The following is a 23,335-nucleotide window of genomic DNA, read 5'->3' as shown; positions in this document are numbered from 1 at the left end:
ACTTTTTGCTTTCTCCCTTTTCTCCTGTCTTATAAACTAGGGAAAAGGGGAGGTTGGGGAGAAACTGAGAAGGACAACAGGAGAAGTGGTGACCTCATACCATAATCCTAGCATTTTGGGAGGCCGAGGTGAGAGAATCGCTTGAGGCCAAGAGTTCCCTACCAGTCCTGGTAACATAGTGAGACCCTATTTCTAAAAAAAAAATAAAAATAATAAAAAAAATAAAAAAAAAAATTAAATAAATAAATAAATAAATTAGCTGGGCGCTGTGGCGGGCACCTGTAGTTCCCAGCTACCGGGAAGGCTGAGGAGGGAGGATCGCTGCTTGAGCACAGTAGGTGGAGGCTGCAGTGAGCAGAGATCGCATCACTGCACCCCTGCCTGGGGGAGAGTGAGACCCAGTCTCAAAGAAAAAGCAAGAACAAACAAAAGTGGTCTCTGGAACAAACCTGGACAAACAACCCTTCGAATAGAGGCAAATTTCTCTTCCTGGAGAAGCCGTGCCACTGGCAACTCCCCAGGGGGCCAGCTCGGGAAAAGCCAGCTGAAACGAGAGGACGTTCACCGTTCCTCGCCTCGATCCACCGGACTTCAGAAGGCTACACGCGGCAGGCGCCGCTCGGGATCCAGGGGCCGGGGTGAGAACGGAGGCGGAGAAACCCCTCAGGCTCCGCCACCGGGGCGGGGAACTGGGAGGCGGCCCCGCCTCTGGGCATCCTCCTGGGTCTTGCCTAGCGGCGGGCGCATGCTTAGTCACCGTGAGGCTGCGCTTGCCCGGGGCCCGCGCCCCCCTACCCCGGGGACCGCCCCCGGGCCGCCCGCCCCACTTGGCGCGCCACTTCCGCGTGCATGGCCCTGCTGCCCCGAGCCCTGAGCGCCGGCGCGGGACCGAGCTGGCGGCGGGCGGCGCGCGCCTTCCGAGGCTTCCTGCTGCTTCTGCCCGAGCCCGCGGCCCTCACGCGCGCCCTCTCCCGTGCCATGGCCTGCAGGCAGGAGCCGCAGCCGCAGGGCCCGCCGCCCGCTGCTGGCGCCGTGGCCTCCTATGACTACCTGGTGATCGGGGGCGGCTCGGGCGGGCTGGCCAGCGCGCGCAGGGCGGCCGAGCTGGGTGCCAGGGCCGCCGTGGTGGAGAGCCACAAGCTGGGTGGCACTTGCGTGAGTACCGCCGGTTTGTTCGGGCGGGGGGCGCCTCTTTGTCTCGGTCTTTCGGGGGACAGCCTGTGCTCGTTCCTATGGCGATCCTGTCCCCCGGCGCTGGGCTTTCCTCTTTTCCACCCCCGCAACTCCCCATTCCGAAGCCAGGAACCCAGCAGGTGGAGGAGAGAGAGGCGTCCGGGGGCTTCTCTGCGGCCCGCAAAGCCGAGCCAGCGTCTGCTTCCGCACGGATGCGATATTGACCAGGGCCGGGGCGGGTTAGATTAACCTTCCTCCATCCTCACTTGTCCAAGTGGGAGAGGATTGGATTCTGTTCTTGACCGCGTGAAACACAAAACTGCATCTGGGAACATTGCTGGTGGCCTGTGTGTAGGGACGAGGGTGACGGTGCCATAGATCCTGGTTCTTGAAAAATGTAGATCCTGGTTCTCCCGTTTCAAGGGCAGAATGATTTATAGCGGTTGTTGTCAACCTTGGCTACACATTCGAATCACCTGAGGGTGCCTGGATTCCCGACTTAATTGGTCTGAGGTGCACTTGGGCTTTGGGATGTTTCCCGACTTAATTGGTCTGAAGTGCAGCCTGGGCTTTGGGATTTTCGGGTGATCTGAATTGCAGCCAAGGCGACCTTGAGTAGGTGAGTTCTCAGAGCTTTTGTTTTGTCTTGGTTTTATGTGGATTGCAAAACTAAAAACAGAGGGATGTAAATCCTGAGATTTACAAAATTCATAATTTTTGAAAATAAGGGTTTTTGTTTGTGTTTGTTTTTTGAGACAGGGTCTTGCCCTGTCACCTAGGCTAGAGTGCAGTGGCCATCATAGCTCACTGCAGCCTCGAACTCCCGGGCTCAAGGGATCCTCTCACCTTGGCCTCCTGAGTAGCTGGAACTACAGGGGGCTAATCACCACGCCTAGTTAATTATTATTATTTTTTGTAGAGATGGGGGTCTCGCTATGTTGCCCTTGCTGATTTCAACCTCTTGGACTCAACCGATCTTCCCGCCTCAGCCTCCCAAAGTGCTGGGATTACAAGCCTGAGCCACTGCACTCATTCTAAAAATAAATGTTGTTTCCAAGTTATTGGTGTGCCCGCCCTTTTCTATCACAAGATTTGGGTGTTGACGATTAAAATGCTGTATCCAAGAGGAACCTGGGATTTGGGATAGGTTCTCTAAATTCCTTTGGAGATGAATATTTAAATTATGTCAAATTGGGAGCTCTTTAAGGACAGGGATGGGCTTCTGTGTTTGTGTGTCTCTTATCACCTTAAAATCCCTTGCTCAATAAGCACTTGTGCAATGAATGAAACTAAAAATGGACAGTTATGAAAAGGTTGACTTCATTGTTCAGTGCCTTGGAGATGAACATGGAGATGAAGAGAAAGGAAAAATCTCTGTTAATTATCAACTTGCACTTTGACACCATAGTCCAGACAGAAGGTTAGAAATCTGTCTCTCCAGAAGGCAGATTGTGGGGTGCCACTAAGTGCCCCCCTCCCACACCTCATGAGAGTACTTGATCACTTCTCACTTCTGTTCTGCTCTCCACATTTTCTCTGTCTTCCTCTTTCTCTACTTATGTTATAATGTGCTTCAGAGGTTCACCCACTTTACCTTCCTGTTATGAATTCTTTTTTTTTTTTTTTTTTTGAGAGGGAGTCTCACTCTGTCACCCAGGCTGGAGTACAGTGGTGCAATCTGGGCTCACTGCAACCTCTGCCTCCCAGGTTCAAGCAGTTCTCCCGTCTCAGCCTCTCGAGTAGCTGGGAATGCAGGTGCATGCCACCATGCCCGGCTAGTTTTTGTACTTTTAATAGAGATGGGGTTTTGCCATGTTGGCCAGGCTGGTCTCAAACTCCTGACCTCTGGTAATCCACCCACCTTGGCCTCCCAAAGTGCTTGGATTACAAGCATGAGCCACCACACCCAGCTAATTTTTTATTTTTAAAATGTATTTATCTATTTTTTTTTCGATATGGAGTCTTGCTCTGTCACCCAGGCTGGAGTGCAGTGGTGCAATCTCGGCTCACTGCAACCTCCGCCTCCTGGGTTCAAGCAACTCTCCTGCCTCGGCCTCCCAAATTGCTGAGATTACAGGTGCCACTACACCCAGCTAACTTTTGTATTTTTAGTAGAGCCAGGCTGGTCTTGAACTCCTGACCTTGTGATCCGCTCACCTCAGCCTCCCAAAGTGCTGGGATTACAGGCGTGAGCCACCACGCCTGGCCTGTTTTTATTTTATTTATTGTTTTTTAGAAACAGGGTTTTGCCATGTTGCCCAAACTGGTCTCTTATGCCTGTGCTTAAGCAGTCGGCCTGCCTTGGCCTCCCAAAATGCTGGGATTACAGGCATCAGCCACCACTCCTGTCCCATTTTTTGTATTTTAAGTGCTGGGATTGGGGGTGGGTAGGGAGAAAACGATAGATATAAACATTTGTGAGACATGTCCCTTCCCTTAAGGAATTTTGTGGTTGTGAAAGAAAAAAATATTGGAACCCCAAAGTATGCCAGAAGGAAAGTTCAGCTTGGGAACTGAATCACACAAATACTGCTTTTCCTTTTGTTCCCAAACAGACAGCTGTAATTTCACAATCCCATGTCATAGCCTTATCTCCTCTACTCCTGCTTTTCACTTTTACTTTATCTTATGTAAAATGTAGATTTACTGAGGCTCATAAGAACCTCACAAGAATGTAACCATCTAGGCTGGGCGTGATGGCTCACGCCAGCACTTTGGGAGGCCAAGGTGGGCAGATCACCTGAGGTCAGGAGTTCGAGACCAGCCTGGCCAACACGGTGAAACTCCGTCTCTACTAAAAATACAAAAATTAGCCGGGTGTGGTGGCACATGCTACTTGGGAGGCTGAGGCATGAGAATCACTTGAGCCCAGGAGGCAGAGGTTGCAGTGAGCCAAGATCATGCCTCTGCACTCCAGTGTGGGCAACAGAGTGAGACTCTGTCTCAAAAAAAAAAAAAAAAAAAAAAGGTGGGGGGTTGGGTAGTATTCTTTGACATTCGGAACCTCAAAAGATGGGTCCCAGGCCTAGGCATCAAAACGGGATATGTTGTGTAATCAAATTTGGAGCACAGAGTGTCTCTTTAATAGAAATAAGAGATGAGAAGCTGATGGGTAGGTTGTGGTTTGAAAAATGTGGAGTTTCTGGACACACAGTGAACTATGGGGGCAGGGGTGGGTTTGAGCAAACCAGTGACTCAGTGAAAGTAGTTTTGTGGTAAGCCATAGGATTGAGATCTCACCCTTGGCGATGCCCAATAGAAGTTTGTCTTTCTGTCTTTTTCTTTTTCTTTTCCTTTCAGTTTATAGAGATAGGGTCTCACTACATTGCCTAGGCTGGTATTGAACTCCTGGACTCAAGCAATCCTCCTGCTTTGGTCTCCGAAAGTGTTAGGATTACAGGCGTGAGCCACTGTGCACGGCAGAAGTTTAAGATTGGTTCTCCCATGAGTTCTTTCCTAAATAAAATCCATTAATTTCTAACGCTTGGGGAAGTTTTAAAGTTGTGGTGAATGAACTCACACGGAAGGTTCAAATTAGAATGTGTGTCTAGCAGTGGTCATTTACAGGTAGTGAGATTGGTTGGTTTTTCATTGTTTTATCAGTGTTCCTTCATTTAATTGTTCAACCGTTAAAGTTTATGGGAGGCCATTGTTTTGGACCAGTCTCCTGTACTAGGTCCCAGCAGACCTGGGTGTGTGTGTGTGTGTGTGTGTGTGTGTGTGTGTGTTTGTTGCTCTGTCACCCAGGCTGGAGTGCAGTGGGGTGATCTCGGCTCACTGCAACCTCCGTCTCCTGGGTTCAAGGAATTCATGTGCCTCAGCCTCGTAAGTAGCTGGGACTACAGGCGCAGGCCACCACGCCTGGCAAATTTTTTGTATTTTTAGTAGAGATGAGGTTTCACCATGTTGGCCAGGCTGATCCCGAACTCCTGACCTAAAGTGATCCACCCGCCTCAGCCTCCCAAAGTGCTGGGATTACAAGTATGAGCCACCGCGTCTGGCATGTTGTTTCATTTTTAAGAGACAGGGTCTCCCTCTGTTTCCCAGGCTGGAGGGCAGTGGTGTGATCTCAGCTCACTGTAGCCTCAAACTCCTGGGCTCAAGCGATCCTCCCACCTCAACCTCCCGACTAGCTGGTTCTGCAGGTAGATACCACTGAGCCTTGCTTGAATTCAGCATTTCAAGTCTCCAAAAGGTTAAGTATATTGCTTATCTCATGATCTCGTGTAGACTGGAGAGAAATGCAAAGATCGCCCAAAGTCAAGGTGAATTAGAGCCTTCTGGGAGCTTTGCCTCTGTGGTTCGCTTCTCTGCCTACACACGTGATGGGAGAGTCAGCTTAAGGAAAAGTTGTTTCTAAATTGCTGCTCCCTTTGCCCCAGGGCCTGGGGAACTTGCGGTCCTGGGTTCCTGCTGAGTGTACTGATTCTGTGATAAGAATAACCAGGTTCCTGTGGTTTTGGCGAGTAGTACTTACCAATGAGAGTTGGGTAGTAAGGGTTGATCATGTGACAAAAGTTCATGATTGCCAAGTCACAGTGAACTATGCTGCACAGCAGCAGTTGGAGAGGCCTAGGGGAGAGAGAGGTAGGGGCTTTGAAAGATCAGTGAACAGCAGGCTGCTCAGTGAATCATTGTTCATCTAGGCTGAAAACAATTACCCAGCAACATGTAAATCATAACCTCATTTGGAAGTGATACTGTGTACTTTGATATTATGATGTCTATACCCTGGTAAAGCTGAACACTGGACATGCTTTTTTTTTTTTTTTTTTTTTTTGAGACAGGGTCTCATTGTGTCACCCAGGCTGGAGTGCAGGGGCATGATCATAGCTCACTGCAACCTTGAACTCCCAAGCTCAAGTGACCCTCCCACCTCAGCCTCCCCAGTAGTCAGGACCACAGGCACATGGCCACCACCATGCCCTGGCTGATTTTTTAAATTTTTAGTAGAGACAAGGTCTTGCTTTGTTGCCCAGGCTGGTCTCGAACTCCTGAGCTCAAGCAGTCCTCCCACCTTAGCCTCTCAAAGTGCTGGGATTACAGGCATGAGCCACCGTGCCCAGCCTGAACATGCATTATTAAATGCAATTTACTAAAAGGAGGTCAGTTTAAAGGAACTCTGTCATCAGTTCCTGCAATATTGACAGATAGCCCTCCGAAATAGAAGGTTACCCTAATGTGTCTCCTGGGTTTAGAATTTCATAGAATGGGGCCCACCCATATTCATAAGTGACAAATAAAGGAGTGGCCATAAAGGGTGGGGCTAGTTAAAGCAAGCAAATGCTATTGTTGAAATTTGGCTTTTAACTTACCTTGTTGACTGCTTCCTTTTTTTGTACTAGTCTTCATATACTGTTGCTTTGCCATCTGCCTCAAAACCCACTAAATCTGCAGGGCTAGGAAAAGATAGACTGCCTCTGAATCCTTCAGGGTGTCTATTTCTTTGTAAAACATACTTTGAAAAGTAACCACAGAGAATGCTTTTTTTTTTTTTTGAGACAGAGTCTGGCTGTCACCCAGGCTGGAATGTAGTGGTACCATCTTGGCTCACTGTAACCTCTGCCTCCCGGGTTCAAGCGATTCTCCTGCCCAGCCTCCTGAGTAGCTGGGACTACAGGCGTGTGCCACTACACCCAGCTAATTTTTTTTTTGTAGAGACGAGGTTTCACCACGTTGGCCAGGCTGGTCTCGAACTCCTGACCTCAACCGATCCACCCACCTCGGCCTTCCAAAGTGCTGGGATTATAGAAATGAGCCACCGTGTCTGTCCAAGAATCCAAGAACTTTTTTTATAGAGGGAAACTAAAGGAATGATATGGAAATACTGATACCCTTTGGCTTTTTTTTTTTCTTCTTGACACGAAGTCTCACTCTGTCACCCTGGCTGGAGTGCAGTGGCACGATCTTGGCTCACGGCAACCTCCACCTCCCAAGTTCAAGTGATTCTCCTACCTCAGCCTCCTGAGTAGCTGGGATTACAGGTGCCCGCCACCACACCTGGCTAATTTTTTTATATTTTTAGTAGAGACTGAGTTTTGCCATGTTGGCCAAGCTGGTCTCAAACTCCTGACTTCAAGTGATCCGCCCACCTTGGCCTCCCAAAGTGCTGGGATTACAGGCCTGAACCACCATGCCCGGACCACTTTGGCATTTGTAAGTGGCTTCCAGTCAGTGAGAATTCATTACCTTCTATTCACTAGGTGTTGCAACATTAAATATTACTGCAGTTACTTTTGCACCAGCCTAATAGGATGTGGAGGTCCTAGGTCCTTTTCTTTTTGGGGGACGGGAGATGGTGGGTATCAGGTAATAGTGGGGACTGACATCCAGAAGAGTTGTCTCACAAAACTCTTTCTTCTTCTCCCCGGATGCCCGTAACAATTATTTTTATTTTTTAAATTTTTTTGTTTTTTGAGGCAGGGTCTCACTCTGTCGCCCAGGCTGGAGTGCAGTGGCACGATCATGGCTCACTGCAGCCTCAATATCCTGGGTTCAGATGATCCTCCTGCCTCAGCTTCCCAACTGGCTGAGACTACAGGCTGTTATTTGTGGTGATGGGGTCTCGCTGTGTTGTCCAGGCTCCTCTCAAACTCCTGGGCTCAAAGGATCCTCCAGTCTTGACCCGTCAAAAGTGCTAGGATTACACACCTGTGTGTGAGCCACGGCACCCAGTCACACTTTTTAAAAATCTGGTGATTTCCTGAGACTGGAAGGTTCAGGTTAATGTTCTGCTTAGCTAAGAATTGAACAAAAACAGCCTTTGTTAATATCTCTTGCAAATGTATCCATTGATTTTCTTGCTTTAGATTCTGCTTTACACAGACTGCTTTTTTTTTTCTCTTTTTCTCAAGTTTGATGCCTCCCTGAACTAACCTTCATCTGAAATGAAAAAAAAGACTTTGAAGGTGGAGACATGGATATTGAATAGTGAATATGTGCCAGGGACAGGGCCATGTCCAGACAGCATTATATTTAGTCATGGTTGGTGTAAAGCTGATGAAATGCAACAGAGACAGGGATCTTTATCTGTTTAAGTCATCAGTATAGTCCAAGCCCCTAGAACAGTGTTTTGCACATAGCAAGTACTCAGTATATAGTTGCTGAAATAATTGAGTTGATAAATCGATAGTGTTTTGCCTTGGAAATTATGACTCGTCTATTTTCTGAGTAGTTCTCATTCTGGTCTTGAATTAGATTTTAGGCAGCAAAGAAGGACGACAGAGGGAGGAAACTGTAGGCAATTCTGTGGTGGGAGGTTGTGGGGAACCAGAGGAAGGAAGTTAACAATTTTTTTTTGAGACAGGGTCTTGCTCTGTCACCCAGGCTGGAGTGCAGTGGTGCAATATAGCTCATGGCAGCCTCAAACTCCTGGGCTCAAACGATCCTCCCACCTCAGCCTCCCATGTAGCTGGGACTACAGGCGTGCAACACCACACCCGGCTAATTTTTAAATTTTTTATTTGTGGAGACGAGGCCTTACTATGTTTCTCAGGCCGGTCTCTAACTCGTGGGCTCAAGCAGTCCTCCCACCTCACCTCCCAAAGTTTTGGGATTACAGCGTGAGCCACCACACCCAGCCGCAAGTTCACTATTGAACACAGTTGATGTTCTTGGCAGGCGCAATTGCAGATTAACCAAGTTCTTGTTTTACTGCCAACATGGGCAATGTGAAGTTTCTACCTGGCTAGGCAGGATTGAAGGTAACGAGGCAGGCCCTAGGAAAAATGGTGAAGCTTCTGAATTTTGCCACCTGTTATCACCAGATAACAGGCGGCCCACTGATCGGGATTCTGAACACTAGATTGATGCCAGCAGGCCCACTGATCGGGGTTCTGAACACTAGATTGGTTGGAAAAGGAAGCTCTCAGGAATGGATCATCGGTTTGGAAAGGGAGGCTGAGTTACAGGAGTCTCCTTGATGATGTATTTACTGAACAGCCTGTGAAATTTTGTTTCTTAGCTGGGTGTGGTGGCTCACGCCTGTTATCCCAGCACTTTGGGAGGCTGAAGTGGGTGGATCACTTGAGGCCAGGAGTTTGAGACCAGCCTGGTCAACATGGTGAAACCCCATCTCTCCTAAAAATTCAAAAATTGGCCAGGCGCGGTGGCTCAGGCCAGTAATCCCAGCACTTTGGGAGGCCGAGGTGGGCGGATCATGAGGTCAGTAGATCGACACCATCCTGGCTAACACGGTGAAACTCCGTCTCTACTAAAAATACATAAAAAAAAAAAAATTTATCCAGGTGTGGTAGTACACACCTGTTGTCCCAGCTACTCGGGAGGCTGAGGCAGGAGAATTGCTTGAACCCAGGAGGCAGAGGTTGCAGTGAGCCGAGATCGCACCACTGCACTTCAGCCTGATGACAGAGTGAGACCTCGTCTCAAAAAAAAAAAAAAAAAAAAATTTAAAAATTAGCTGGGCGTGGTGGCGGGCACCTGTAATCCCAGGTACTCGGGAGGCTGAAGCTGGAGAATTGCTTGAACTCAGGAGGCAGAGGTTGTGATGAACCGAGATGGCACCACTGGACTCCAGCTGGGCAACAAGAGTGAGACTCCATCTCAAAACAAAACAAAGCAAAAAAAAAAAACAAAACACCTTAGCAGGGCATAGTGGTGCGTGCCTATAATCTCAGCTACTCGGGAAGCTAAGAATCACTGGAACCTGGGAGGCAGAAGTTGCAGTGAGCTGAGATTGTGTCACTGCACACTCCAGTCTGGGCGACAGAGTGAGACTCTGTCTCAAAAAGAAAAAAAGAAACTTGTTTCTTATCCCTCATTAATGCCCACCTGGAGAACCGGGGAATCTGCCAGTGTTGTATGCTGAGGGTCTTAGCAATGTGCAACTCTGGGCAACCAGAGCCCTGAGAACTCATCTGATAATGCTCCAGTCTGGGAGGCAAACTTCCTTTGTGATCAGCTGATGTGTTTTAGGTAGGAAGGCCCCTGGGGAATTTATCTCCGCCTTTCCGTATGCCTTGTGTGCGTGTGGGGAGCCAGCAGACGCAGAAATAATTCAGAGGTATCAGAGTCACCATCACATCTATCATAGATTAGAAATAGATGCTTTATATACCTTATCTCTGACCTGCTCAAAATCTCCATAATGGAAGCATTCTTCCCTTAACTGAGCTAGGAGAAATTTGGAAACTCACCCACCTCTAGCCACTAAATGGGAGAGCTGAGAGTCAAACTCCTATCTGTCTGACTTGAGGCCTGTGCTCCCTCTAACAACCTGATGCACAGGTCAGCTAGAGCAGCAGTCCCCAGCCTTTTTGGCACCAGGAACCAGTTTTGTGGAAGACAATTTTTCCACGGACCAGCAGTGGGGTATGGTTTCAGGATGATTCAGGATTCAAGTGAATCACATTTATTTATTTATTTATTTATTTATTTATTTTTATTTTTTTGAGACAGAATTTCACTCTTGTTGCCCAGGCTGGAGTGCAATGGCATGATCTCGGCTCACTGCAGCCTCTGCCTCCTGGGTTCAAGCGATTCTCCTGCCTCAGCCTTCCAAGTAGCTGGGATTACAGGCACCCACCACCACACCTGGCTAATTTTTGTATTTTTATTAGAGACGGAGGTTTCACCATGTTGGCCAGGCTGGTCTTGAACTCCTGACCTCAGGTAATTGCCCGCCTCGGCCTCCCAAAGTGCTGCAATTACAGGCTTGCGGCACCACGCCCAGCCTGCATCACATTTATTGTGCACTTTATTTCTATTATTATTATGTTGTAATATATAATGAAATAATTATGCAACTCACCATAAACTAGACTCCGACGGAGCCCTGAGCTTGTTTTCCTGCAACTAGTTGGTCCCATCTGGGGCTGATGGGAGACAGTGACAGATCATCAGCAATTAGATTCTCATAAGGAGTGTGCAACCTACATCCCTTGCATGCACAGTTCACAATAGGGTTCACGCTCCTATGAGAATCTAATGCCGCCACTGATCTGAAAGGAAGTGGGTGGAGCTCAGGCAGTAATGCTAGCGACGGGGAGCAGCTATAAATACATATGAAGCTTCGCTCACTTGCCCGCCACTCACCTCCTGCTGCAGCCTGGTTCCTAATAGGCACCTGGCGGTCAGGGAGCCCTGAGCTAGAGAAAGGGGAAAGAAGGCTGAGTGCGGTGGCTCATGCTTGTAATTCCAACTTTTGGGAGGCTAACGTGAGAGGACTGCTTCAGCCCAGCATTTTGAGACCAGCCTGCGCAACATAGTAAGACCCTGTCTCTAATGTGTTTGTTTGTTTGTTTCCTTTTTCTTTTGAGATAGAGTTTCGCTCTTGTTGCCCAGGCTGGAGTGCAATGGCACGATCTCCGCTCACGGCAACCTCCACCTCCTGGGTTCAAGCGATTCTCCTGCCTCAGCCTCCCAAGTAGCTGGGATTACAGGCATGTGCTACCACGCCCAGCTAATTTTGCATTTTTAGTAGAAACAGGGTTTCTCCATGTTGGTCAGGCTGGTCTTGAACTACCGACCTCAGGTGATCTGCCCGCCTCGGCCTCCCGAAGTGCTGGGATTACAGGCATAAGCCACCATGCCCAGCCTCCGTCTCTAATTTGTAAGAAATTGAAAAAAAAAAAATTTGGGGGGAAAGAGAAGGGAGCAGCAGAGGGGATGGGTGAGCGAGAGCATGCCAGCTTTTCACCCCTGGCCTCCCCAGCTCTCACTGGAACTAAGTGTATGTGTATTTTTTGAGATAGGGTCTCATTCTGTTGCCCAAGCTGGAGTGCAGTGGTGCTATCTCGGCTCACTGTAGCCTTGACCTCCCAAGCTCAAGTGATTCTCCTGCCTCAGCCTCCCCAGTAGCTGGGACTACAGGCTTCACTATCACACCTGGCTAATTTTTGTATTTTTTCTAGAGACAGTGTTTCACCTTGTTGCCCAGGCTCATCTTGAACTCCTGGCCTCAAGCGATCCACCTGCCTTGGCCTCCCAAAGTGCTGGGATTATAGGCATGAGCCGCCACTCCCAGCCTAAATGTGCTTTTCGTTCCTTCCAAGTCAGAGGCGCTGAAGTCATGTCATGTTGCTGGCATGTAAATAGGCCTCTAAAAGCAGTGGAAATCCCTGGAGGCCTGTTCACAGGAGCTGGCAAAATAGGACAGTGGTATTTCAGGGTCATAGGCTTCCTTTCAACCAGTGCCCCAGGCCCCAAAGTGTGTTGTGCTGGGGCGCAGCTTCTCTGGCCCAACAAGGCCACAATTTTCCACCATCCTCTTCCTCTGGTTTCTGGCCCAGTGCTCTTCAATTTTAGGGAATGTGGAGATTCTGCTGCTGCCCCTTGAGTCAGTATCTTGGACAGGCTCAGAGCCTCTCTCTGGCTGGCACTGTAGGCCAAGATACTGATACAGTCCCCAAGAGCAGGGACTGTATCTGTTTAGTGCCTTACCTTGCATAATGCCTGGCACAAGTGAGTGCTTACTCAGTACCTCTGAATGAATGCCTGCAAGCTAAGACGACGTAGAAGCAAAAAAGGCAGAAACTTCTAAAAAAACAAACCAGAGTTATAGACACCAGGCACCAGTGAAAGCCCACCTTGGCGCTTAGAAGAAACATATTCCAAAAAAAGAATATGTTTTAAAATTAAACATATTTTTTAAAAACTTTTTTAAAAAACATATTTTTAAAATTAGAAAAAGAAGCCTTAAATAACTTTAAAGTAGCTTCAAATATACATGAGGAACAAACTGATGGTATGTGAGAGTAGTTTAGAACATTGAGTGCTTTATGACACCCTTGGATTGCTTTTGATGATTCTTGGGAAGCCAGAAATGGTGACTGGAAGACCAGCAGTATTTATGTAGCAGACAAATCATCTCTACCTTTGGGAAAATTGCTTTTGGAGTCTGTCCTAGTTGAAGCCACTTAGTGAACTTAAATGGTGAACTGCAGGGTATAAAGGTGTGGGTGGAAGGCACGGGGAAGCACGTTGCCTGCCAAATAACTGGAAAAGGCAGGTTGGATGAGAAAATCATTCCCATTATGGGGCTAGCATTGTTCTTCCCACAGAGTTTCGACCTCCTTTCTCTGCTCTTACCATTAGGAAACCCCTGCTGTGCGTCCTCCTTTCTTAGAAATGGCTTATTCTATTTATCCCAGTAATGTTGTCAGGTACTTGGGGGTTGAGAAGTAGCATATCCTCAGCTTGGCCAGATGAAAGGGCACTCTAGATAGAAAGCCATACGTTTATTATTATTATTTATTTTTAGAGGTAGGGTCTGGCTCTGTTACCTAGGCTGGAGTGCAGTGGTATGATCAGAGCTTATTGTAGCCTTCAACTCCTGGGCTCAAGAGATCCTTCCGCCTCAGCCTCCTGAATAGCTGGAACTACGGGCATGCACCACCAAACCCAACTAATTTTTTATTTTTTATTTTTTTACAGAGATGGGGTCTCAGGGTCTCACTGTGTTGCCCAGGCTGGTCCCTAACTCCTGGGCTCAAGCAATCATCTTTCTTTTCGGCCTCCCAAAGCGTGGGGATTACAGGCGTGAGCCACCACACCCAGCCCATAAATTATTCTAATTTTTAGTATGAAGTACTTGTGATACTCTGCCATGAAGGATGCAGTGCTGGCAGGAATAGTGGAATAATTGCTGCTTGTAAACATTTAAGATTCTCCTGTGGATTTTGGTGAGTGATCATTAAACTGTTTTCCAAAAGCATATACAGGCCAAGCGTGGTGGCTCATGCCTATAATCTCAGCACTTTGGGAGGCTGAGGCAGGAGAATCACTTGATCTCAGGAGTTCAAGACCAGCCTGGGCAATATACTGAGACCTTGTCTCTATTTTTATAAAGTATTTTTAATTTTTATTTAAAAAATAAAATAAAAAGCATATACAGGCCACGTATGGTAGCTCACACCTGTAATCTCAACACTTTGGGAGGCCGAGTTAGGAGGATTGCTTGAGCCCAGGAGTTTGAGACCAGCCTGGGCAACATAGTGAGACCCTGTCTCTATATTTTTAGAAAAATATTTTTTATTTTTTTTTAAAAAGTATATCCAGGCGTGATGGCTCACGCCTGTAATCCCAGCACTTTGGGATGCCAAGGCGGGTGGATCACTTGAGCTCAGGAGTTTAAGACCAGCCTGGGCAACATGGTGCGACTCTGTCTCTACTAAAAATACCAGGCATGGCGGTGAACGCCTGTGGTCCCAGCTACTCGGGGGCTGAGGAGGGAGAATTGTTTGATCCCGGGGAGCGGAGGTTGCAGTGAGCTGAGATTGCACCATGGCACTCCAGCCTGAGTGACAGAGCAAGACTCTGTCTCAAAAAAAAAAAAAAAAAAAAAAAAAAAGCATATAGAACAAAATGTGAAAGTTTTCTCCCTCTCCAGAGAAACACTGTTGACTGCTTGGAGTATAGCCAAACTGTGTTTACACCCATATATACATACACACATACTGCATATGAATACGAATTGGGTTGTGGCATAACTACTATTCTGCAACTTTCTTTTTGATGCATAACAGTGTATGTTAGAACTCTTTCCATATAGTGCATAGAAATCTACCTTGCCCTTTTAAATGGCTGCAGAATATTCCACAGACTCAATGTATAACTATTTACTACTTCCCTGCCGATGGATATTTAACCTGTCTGTAGTTACCCGTTATCACCAAGCTTCAAGGAATAGCCCCATAAATGCATCTTTGGACACGGGAGCATAATATGTGACTACTTTTCTAGGTTACTGTAAAAGTAGAATTGCTGGGCCAATCAGGATATGTTTGCTAACACTAGTTATAGTCAACCTTTAAAATTTTTGCCAATCTGACAGATGAAAAATATTTCATTATTTAAATTATCTTTTATCTTTACTTTTAAAAAATGTAGATTTCGTCTGGGCGTGGTGGCTCATGCCTGTAATTCCAGCACTTTGGGAGGCCAAGGTGTGTGGATCACTTGAGGTCATGAGTTCGAGACCAGCCTGGCCAACAAGGCGAATCCCCATCTCTACTAAAAATACAAAAATTAGCCAGGCAGGATGGCAGGCGCCTGTAATCTCAGCTACTCGGGAGGCTGAGGCATGAGAATTGCTTGAGCCTGGGAGGCAGAGGTTGCAGTGAGCTGAGATCTTGCCACTATACTCCAGCCTGCGCGATATAGTGAGACTCAGTCTCAAAAAAAAAACAACCAAACAAAAAAATAATGTAGTTTTCTGGCTGGGCACAGTGGCTCATGACTGTAATCCCAGCACTTTGGGAGGCTGAGGCAGGTGGATCACCTGAGGTCAGTAGTTCGAGACCAGCATGGCCAACATGGCAAAACCCCATCTCTACTGAAAATACAAAAATTAGCTGGGCATGGTGGTGCACACCTACAGTCCCAACTATTCAAGAGGCTGAGGCAGGAGAATCGCTTGAATCTGGGAGGTGGAGTTTGCAGTAAGCTGTGATCGCACCATTGCACTCCAGCCTGGGCAACAAAGCGAGACTCCGTCTCAAAAAAAAAAAAAAGTAGTTTTCTGAGTCTTGCTTTTTCTACTTTTATTCCATAAGTGTATTTCTATATATTAACTAAGAGTGAAATGGAAATGATTGTAACCAAATATGTATTTGTACATAACATGATAATCTGTGCATTTGTGCATTTCGCTTTTCTACATCTTTGGTTACTTCTTTAGGCCAAATGCCTAGTAGTTATAAATCAAAGTCATTTTATGAGATCTAATATTTATTTAGGTTTTCTCAAGTTTCTGTACTAATGGTTAATCAATATCCTAAGTTCCATGCCATGTACTTTAAATTTTTGTGCTTTTGGTGAGTATTCACCAGTATCTCAATGTTCAGCCTTTCTTTGTGTGTGTGTTTCTTTTTTGAGGCAGAGTCTTTCAGTGTCACCCAGGCTGGAGTGCAGTGGCATGATCATGATCATGGCTTACTGCAGCCTTGTCTTTCCAGGCTCAAAGGGTCCCCCCACCTCAGCCTCCTGAGTAGCTGGGACCACAGGCATGCACCACCACACCCAGCTACTTTTTTTTGTAGAGACGTGGTCTCGCTTGTTGCCCAGGCTGGTCTCGAATTCATGGGCTTAAGCAATCCAACTGCCTCAGCTCCCAAAGTGCTGGAATTACAGGTGTGAACTACCAAGCCCTGGCCCATCTTGGGTGTTTATCCATGTATTCTGCAGTACTTTCCCGAGAAGTCCTCTTAGACAGCAGCTCAAATGGGCTGATTGTTCTTTCTCCGTCCAAGAAAAATGCTGATGAATGAACTTCTCTCCCTCATTACAGAAGGAAAATAATGTTCTTATCTTTTTGTAACAAAGAAAGTAACTAGAATTTAGTACACTGTGACTTAGAACCCAAGGAAGACTCCTCGCTTGATGCTTAGCGTGCATTTCTTGCAGATTTCGTTTGATGGTTTGAATTCAATATTCTTAAAGTGTGTCTCTTTTTTTTTTTTCCAGGTGAATGTTGGATGTGTACCCAAAAAGGTAGAATTTTTATTTCTCTTTCCCTTTACAATCCTTTTTCTATTTGGTAAATCATAATCAAAATCAGAATGTTTCCAAATAGATCAGTTAAAATTCTTTCTGCAAAAAAAACCCCTAGACCCTACTAAAAGTAGCTTAAGCAATAGGATTGTTTTTGTTTGATTTGTGTTTTTTAAATTTTTTTATTTATTTTTAATTACTTTTTATTTTTATTATTATTGTTTTTTTGAGACGGAGTTTCGTTCTTGTCACCCAGGCTAGAGTACAGTGGCGCGATCTTGGCTCACCGCAACCTCTGCCTCCTGGGTTCAAGTGATTCTCTTGCCTCAGCCTCCCAAGTAGCTGGGATGACAGGCGTGCGCCACTGCACTTGACTGATTTTTGTATTTTTAGTAGAGATGGGGGTTTCACCGTGTTGGCCAGGCTGGTCTCGAACTCCTGACCTCAGGTGATCTGCCCACCTCAGCCTCCCAAAATGCTGGGATTATAGGCATGAGCCACAGACCCCAGCCAAGGCCTGGTCATCTACACCACAGGATAGTTTTTTCTCAGCAAAAAGACCCAGCCAGCAAACCAAACTGTTGAATGGAATCTTCTCAAGTTCTGTGGGTTCATGGATTTTCTGTATCACATTAGTGATTTTTTCGTTGTTAATATCTGTGGTGCAGGTCACATTGAATGAATTCATTTTTTTTACCCTTGACAAAGAGGAAAAAACAGCAGCTCTTATTTGTAAAGCTGCCTCTTGCTTATACTTGCAAAGAATTTTACCACTCATTTGAATGTACTTTCAACATATGTTGTAATCTCAAGCTTACCACCTTTATTAATGACATTCCATTTTAACTTGTCATCTTTTTGGTATTATATAAGCAAATCTCCTAATCTCATCAGTGATGCATACCTGAGTTTAATTCCAAAAAGTCTTTTTGAAGTCTTTTCCGTGGTATAGGTAAGGTGTTTTTCTTTCTGTCTTAGGAAGACTTTTCTTCTCTGGGACATTTTCCCTCAACTATTTCCTTTCCTATTAGTCATACTTTTTGTAATCTGTTCTACTTGGAGCCATGCAATTATGACTGTATGAATTATATAAATTAATTATAAGGTGGTTTTATGTAGTTTAAACCAGTTATGGTGGTAAATTTCGTGTTGATTGGTACAAGTTTATTTTTTTTTAAATATACCACTGGGCTAATACTGCACAGTAAACTGATTTTGTAATGTTTTAGTCTCATATTTACTTATTCCTTCTGATCACATGCGGTAGACATTTATGTATGTTCATTTATATATTTTTTTTTCTTTTTTTTCTTTTCTTTTTTTTTTTTTTTTTTTTTTTTTTTTTTTGAGACAGAGTCTCACTCTTGCCCAGGCCGGAATGCAGTGGTGTGATTTCAGCTCACTGCAATCTCCACCTCCCAGGTTCAAGTGATTCTCCTGCCTCAGCACAAGTAGCTGGGACTACAGGCGTGCATCACCATGCCTGGCTAATTTTTTTTGTATTTTTATTAGAAATGAGATTTCACCATGTTGGCCAAGATGGTCTCGAACTCCTGACCTCAAGTGATCTACCTCCCTCTGCCTTCCAAAGTGCTGGGATTATAGTCATGAGCCACTGTGCCCGGCCTTGTGTTTGTTTCTTTTTAGTCTGTTTTTAATAGCTTTCCCCTTATCTCTTTAAAAAAAAATGTTTTAAGTTAGCAAGGTATAGTAGATTTTATTTATTATTATTATTATTATTTTATCTTTTGAGACAGAGACTCTGTCACTCAGGCTGGAGTGCAGCAGTGTGATCTTGGCTCACTACAACCTCTGCCCTCAGGGTTCAAGCAATTCTCCTGCCTCAGCTTCCCAAGTAGCTGGGACTACAGGTGTGTGCCACCATACCCAGCTAATTTTTGTATTTTTAATAGAGATGGGGTTTTGCCATGTTGGCCAGGCTGGTCCCGAACTCTTGACCTCAAGTGATCCACCTGCCTCGGGCTCCCAAAGTGCTGGGATTACAGACGTGAGCTGCCGTGCCCAGCTAGGTTTGTTTTTAATTTAAAGGGCAGTATTTTTATCTGCTGTTACCTAGTTACCATTCATTCATGATTCCTTTTTTCCCTCAGGACTGATTTACTGCTGTTTTGGATCCTTTTTTTTTTTTTTTTTTACAGGTAATGTGGAACACAGCTGTCCACTCTGAATTCATGCATGATCATGCTGATTATGGCTTTCCAAGTTGTGAGGGTAAATTCAATTGGCGGTAAGTGTCAACACTCAGAGGGTTCAGTTTCCAAGTGTAGATATTTTTCTTTTATAACTGAGCCATAAACTTTTTTAGGGATGGAGGAGGAATTGCGGTAAATATTCACAATACGAGATTTACAGTTTAGCCATTTTTAAGTATACAATTGAGTGCCATTAAGCGCATTCACATTGTTATACAGTCGTCACCACTATTACCACTTCCAGAACTTTTCTGCTATCCCAAACAGAAACTATTCTATTAAACAATAACCCCTCATTCTCTTCTCCCCCTGGCCCCTGGGAACCTCTATTCTGCTTTCTGTCTCTATGAATTTGCCAATTCTAGGGAACTCATATAAGTGGAATCATACAATATTTGTTCCTTTATGTCTAGTGTATTTTGTTTTCACGGTTTGTCCATGTTGTAGTATGTATCAGAACCTCATTCCTTTTTGTTTGTTTGTTAAGACAGGGTCTTGCTCTGTTGTCCACGCTGGAGTGCAGTGGTGCAATCATAGCTCACTGCTATCTTGAGCTCCTGGGCTCAAGCTATCCTCCCACTTCAGCCTCCTGAGTAGCTGGGACTACAGGCACGTGCCACCATGCCTGCCTATTTTTTTTAATTTTTGTTTTTAGTAGAGATGAGGTCTCACTGTGGTGCCCAGGCTAGTCTTGAACTCCTGAGCTGAAGTGATCCTCCCGCCTCAGCCTCCCAATGTGCTGGGATTACAAGTGTGAGCCACTGTGCCCAGCCTTCATTCCTTTTAAAGGCAGAATAAGATTTCTTCATATGGATAAAACCACATTTTGTTTATCCATTCATTTGTTAGTGAATTTTTGGGTTGTTTTTACCTTTTTTTTTTTTTTTTTTGAGACGGAGTCTCACTCTGTCACCCAGGCTGGAGTGCAGTGGTGCGATCTCGGCTCACTGCACGCTCCGCCTACCGGGTTCACGCCATTCTCCTGCCTCAGCCTCCTGAGTAGCTGGGACTACAGGCACCCACCAGCATGCCTGGGTAATTTTTTGTATTTTTTTTAGTAGAGACGGGATTTCACTGTGTTAGCCAGAATGATCTCGATCTTCTGACCTCGTGATCCGCCCACCTCAGCCTCCCAAAGTGCTGGGATTACAGGCGTGAGCCACCGCGCCCGGCCTGTTTTTACCTTTTGGTTATTGTGAACAATGCTGCTATGAACATTCGTATATGGGTATCTGTTCAGGTCTCTGCTTCCAGTTTCTTTTGGGTCTGTACTTAGAAGTGAAATTGCCGAATCGTATGGTAGTTTTGTGTTTAACTATTTAAGGAACTGCTGTAAATCCTTTGAAGCCATTAACAGTTTTGAAGAAATTTAGCAAATTTATTTATTTAGCAAGTGTTTATTAAGTGCCCACCACGTCCTGTGCACATCATGTTCTAGGCACTTTGCCAAAACATTTCTCCTTGTCTTCTGCGCAGAAAGATGATGCCAACTGAGTGTGTTCTCCACTGAGTGGCACAGAGGCTTTTAACACATGGGGCAGCAGAATGACACAGGGAAGGGATGACTGTCTTCGGAGACATTCACTCACTGCGGTTGCTGTTGACAGTCAGTGATTCTCTGCTCGGGGTGTTCAGGGACAGATGCCTTAGTTACTAACTAGAAGGGGAAGATCCTGTTTCTGAATACTGACTTGGGTTTCATTGCAGTGTTATTAAGGAAAAGCGGGATGCCTATGTGAGCCGCCTGAATGCCATCTATCAAAACAATCTCACCAAGGTGTGTATGCTGGGTTTTTAACTTTGAGAAAGAGCTGTTCCCTTCTTGAGTACTCAGCTAAGTCTTGCCAGACTGTAGCCCTATTTATTTATTTATTTTTATTATTATTTTTTTGGAGACAGGGTCTCGCTCTGTCGCCCAGGCTGGAGTGCAGGGGCGCAATCTCGGCTCACTGCAACCTCCGCCTCCTGAGTTCAAGCAATTCTCCTGCCTCAGCCTCCTGAGTAGCTGGGACTACAGGCGTGTGCCACCACACCCATCGAATTTTTGTATTTTTTTAGTAGAAACAGGGTTTCACCATGTTGGCCAGGCTGGTCTCGAACTCCTGACCTCAGGTGATCTGCCCACCTTGTCCTCTCAAAGTGCTGAGATTACAGGCATGAGCCACTGCACCCGGCCCTATTTTATTTTTAACGACCAGGTCTCTATCTGTCGCCAGGCTGGAGTACGGTGGTGCAATGATAGCTCACTGTAGCCTCCAAGTCCTGGGCTCAAGCAGTCCTCCCACCTCAGTCTCCTTAGTAACTAGGACTGTAGGCATGCACCACCACACCTGGCTAATTTTTAAAATATTTTGTAGAGATTTCTCACTGTGTTGCCTAGGCTGGTCTTTAAACTCCTGCCTTAGCCTCCCAAAGTGTTGGGATTATAGAGATGAGCCACTGTGCCTGGCCTCTTACTTTTTCTATTATTGAAATTGACCTGTCAGAGCAGAAGCCTCTGACCTAGATGGCCAGTCTCTTCTGCAGAGAGAGGGTGGCATGTGCCAGAGCTGGCAGACCAGGCCTCACCTAATGGCTGCACCTTGAGTAGGTCTGGCCTGGCAATTAGATTCAGAAGTCACATACGAGAGACTTTGTGCACCAGTATACCAGTTTATTAATTAAAATGAGGAGTGCTATCTAGCTGAAAACCTGCCATTGTGTGTTTGTTTGTTTTTTGAGACAGAGTTTCTCTATTCACCCAGGCTGGAATGCACAATCTCAGCTCAGTGCAACCTCTGCCTCCCGCCAGGTTCAAGCAATTCTCCTGCCTCAGCCTCCCAAGCAGCTGGGATTAGAGGTGTGCACCACCACGCCTGGGTAATTTTTGTATTTTTACTAGAAACGGGATTTCACCATGTTGGCCAGGGGTCTCGAACTCCTGACCTCAAGTGATTTGCCCACCTCGGCCTCCCAAAGTGCTGAGATTATAGGCGTGAGCTACCGCACCTGGCCAAACCTACCATTGTTTATTTGCCTAGAGTAAGACCTCCTTAAGAGACCAAATTAGGATTCAGAAGGTTGTTTTTATGAATGACATCTGATCAAGAAAACTGGGCAGAGGTGTGTTTGCCTCCAGCAACTGTATGTCATCCTTCACTATCCTGATGCTTTTCCCCCATAGTGCTGGGATGTCACACCTTTCCCACCAGGACCATGTAGGTGACATTGACAACCTGTGCATCACTTAACTCTCCTTTTCCTTGACAATATCTTCCCGCCACCCTTCATTTGTCTTTGTGGTCTCACTTTGCTGTTTCTAAGATTTCTTACGGTTGTTTGTTTGTTTGTTTGTTTGTTTATTTGTGAAACAGAATCTTGCTCTGTCGCCCAGGCTGGAATGCAGTGATGTGATCTCGGCTCACTGCGACCTCTGCCTCCCAGGTTCAAGCAATTCTTGTGCCTCAGCCTCCCGAGTAGCTGGGACTACAGGCACGTGCCCCCACACCTGCCTAATTTTTTTTGTATTTTTAGTAGAGATAGGGTTTCACCATGTTGGCCAGGCTGGTCTTGAACTCCTAGCCTGAAGTGATCTGCCTGCCTCAGCCTCCCAAAGTGCTGGGATTACAGGGGTGAACAACCACTCCTGGCCCTCTTAGGTTATATTTAGATCAGTAACTTTTTTTTTTTTTTTTGAAAAGGGTCTTACTCTGTCACCCAGGCTGAAGTGCAGTGGCATGATCTCAGCTCACTACAGCCTCGACCTCCCAGGCTCAAGTGATCCTCCTGCTTTGGCCTTCCAACATGCTGGGATTACAGGCATCAGCCACTACACCTGGCTTAGATCAGTAGATTCTTGATGATAATTAGGCCACTGTGATCTCAGTAGCAGCATATTTATAAACCAATTTTTAGGACGAGTTACTTCATACATAGCTAACTGTGTACAGTTTTATATTCTTATTCATTGGGTTTATTTTTTGGAGGGTGAATTTTCCAACCTTAATCCTCAATCCAGGGGGAAAAATATTTAAAGGCCTGCAGTCCTTAAGCACAGGAGATTTTAAGGCTGAGTATAGAGTAACACTGGCAGTACTAAAACACACCAAGTTTTTTATTTTTATTTTTTATTTTTTTGAAGTCAGGATCTCACTCTCTTGAGCAGACTGGAGGGCACTGTCGTGATCACAGCTCACTGCAGCCTTAACCTCCCAGGCTCAAGCAATCCTCCCACCTCAGCCCCCTGAGTAGCTTGGGCTATAAGCACTGTCCCACCACACCCTACTACTTTTAAAAAACGTTTGTAGAGGCCGGGCGCGGTGGCTCACACCTGTAATCCCAGTACTTTGGGAGGCCGAAGCGAGTGGATCATGAGGTCAGGAGATTGAGACCATCCTGGCTAACACGGTGAAACCCCAGCCCTACTAAAAAATACAAAAATTGACCAGGTGTGGTGGCGGGCGCCTGTATTCCCAGCTATTTGGAAGGCTGAGGCAGGAGAATGGCGTGAACCCTGGAGG

General features: G+C 46.0%; 1 protein-coding gene across 6 annotated transcripts in view, besides 4 other annotated features; it reads left to right on the top strand.

Annotated features, from left to right (window-relative positions):
* Positions 579-668: a silencer, noted in NCBI's record as "silent region_19084". NCBI's record gives its function as "represses an Ori minimal core promoter by ATAC-STARR-seq in GM12878 lymphoblastoid cells {active_cell/tissue: GM12878}" and the evidence as "EXISTENCE:reporter gene assay evidence [ECO:0000049][PMID:35858748]".
* Positions 739-1,178: a silencer, noted in NCBI's record as "silent region_19083". NCBI's record gives its function as "represses an Ori minimal core promoter by ATAC-STARR-seq in GM12878 lymphoblastoid cells {active_cell/tissue: GM12878}" and the evidence as "EXISTENCE:reporter gene assay evidence [ECO:0000049][PMID:35858748]".
* GSR (glutathione-disulfide reductase) overlaps positions 839-23,335 on the top strand; it is a 49,781-nt gene continuing 27,284 nt past the window's right edge. For 4 of the 6 annotated variants that reach the window (NM_001195104.3, NM_001195102.3, NM_001195103.3 and 1 more), the window contains exons 1-4: positions 839-1,155; positions 16,597-16,623; positions 18,783-18,871; positions 20,544-20,613. In NM_001195104.3, coding sequence (NP_001182033.1) covers positions 850-1,155; positions 16,597-16,623; positions 18,783-18,871; positions 20,544-20,613 — 492 coding nt within the window. In that variant the 5' untranslated portion in view covers positions 839-849. Of the gene's footprint in view, positions 1,156-1,663; positions 1,793-16,596; positions 16,624-18,782; positions 18,872-19,714; positions 20,443-20,543; positions 20,614-23,335 lie in introns of those variants that run through there. The other 2 variants (XM_047421727.1, XM_047421728.1) reach the window with 2 other exon arrangements.
* Positions 1,254-1,941: an enhancer, noted in NCBI's record as "NANOG-H3K27ac-H3K4me1 hESC enhancer chr8:30584261-30584948 (GRCh37/hg19 assembly coordinates)". NCBI's record gives its function as "activates a minimal SCP1, AML or CMV promoter by ChIP-STARR-seq in primed H9 embryonic stem cells {active_cell/tissue: H9 hESC(primed)}" and the evidence as "EXISTENCE:reporter gene assay evidence [ECO:0000049][PMID:30033119]".
* Positions 4,323-4,382: a silencer, noted in NCBI's record as "silent region_19082". NCBI's record gives its function as "represses an Ori minimal core promoter by ATAC-STARR-seq in GM12878 lymphoblastoid cells {active_cell/tissue: GM12878}" and the evidence as "EXISTENCE:reporter gene assay evidence [ECO:0000049][PMID:35858748]".

The sequence above is a fragment of the Homo sapiens genome, chromosome 8 (assembly GCF_000001405.40).
Source record: "Homo sapiens chromosome 8, GRCh38.p14 Primary Assembly".
NCBI lineage: Eukaryota > Metazoa > Chordata > Mammalia > Primates > Hominidae > Homo > Homo sapiens.
This window is presented reverse-complemented; position numbering and strand designations above follow the sequence as displayed.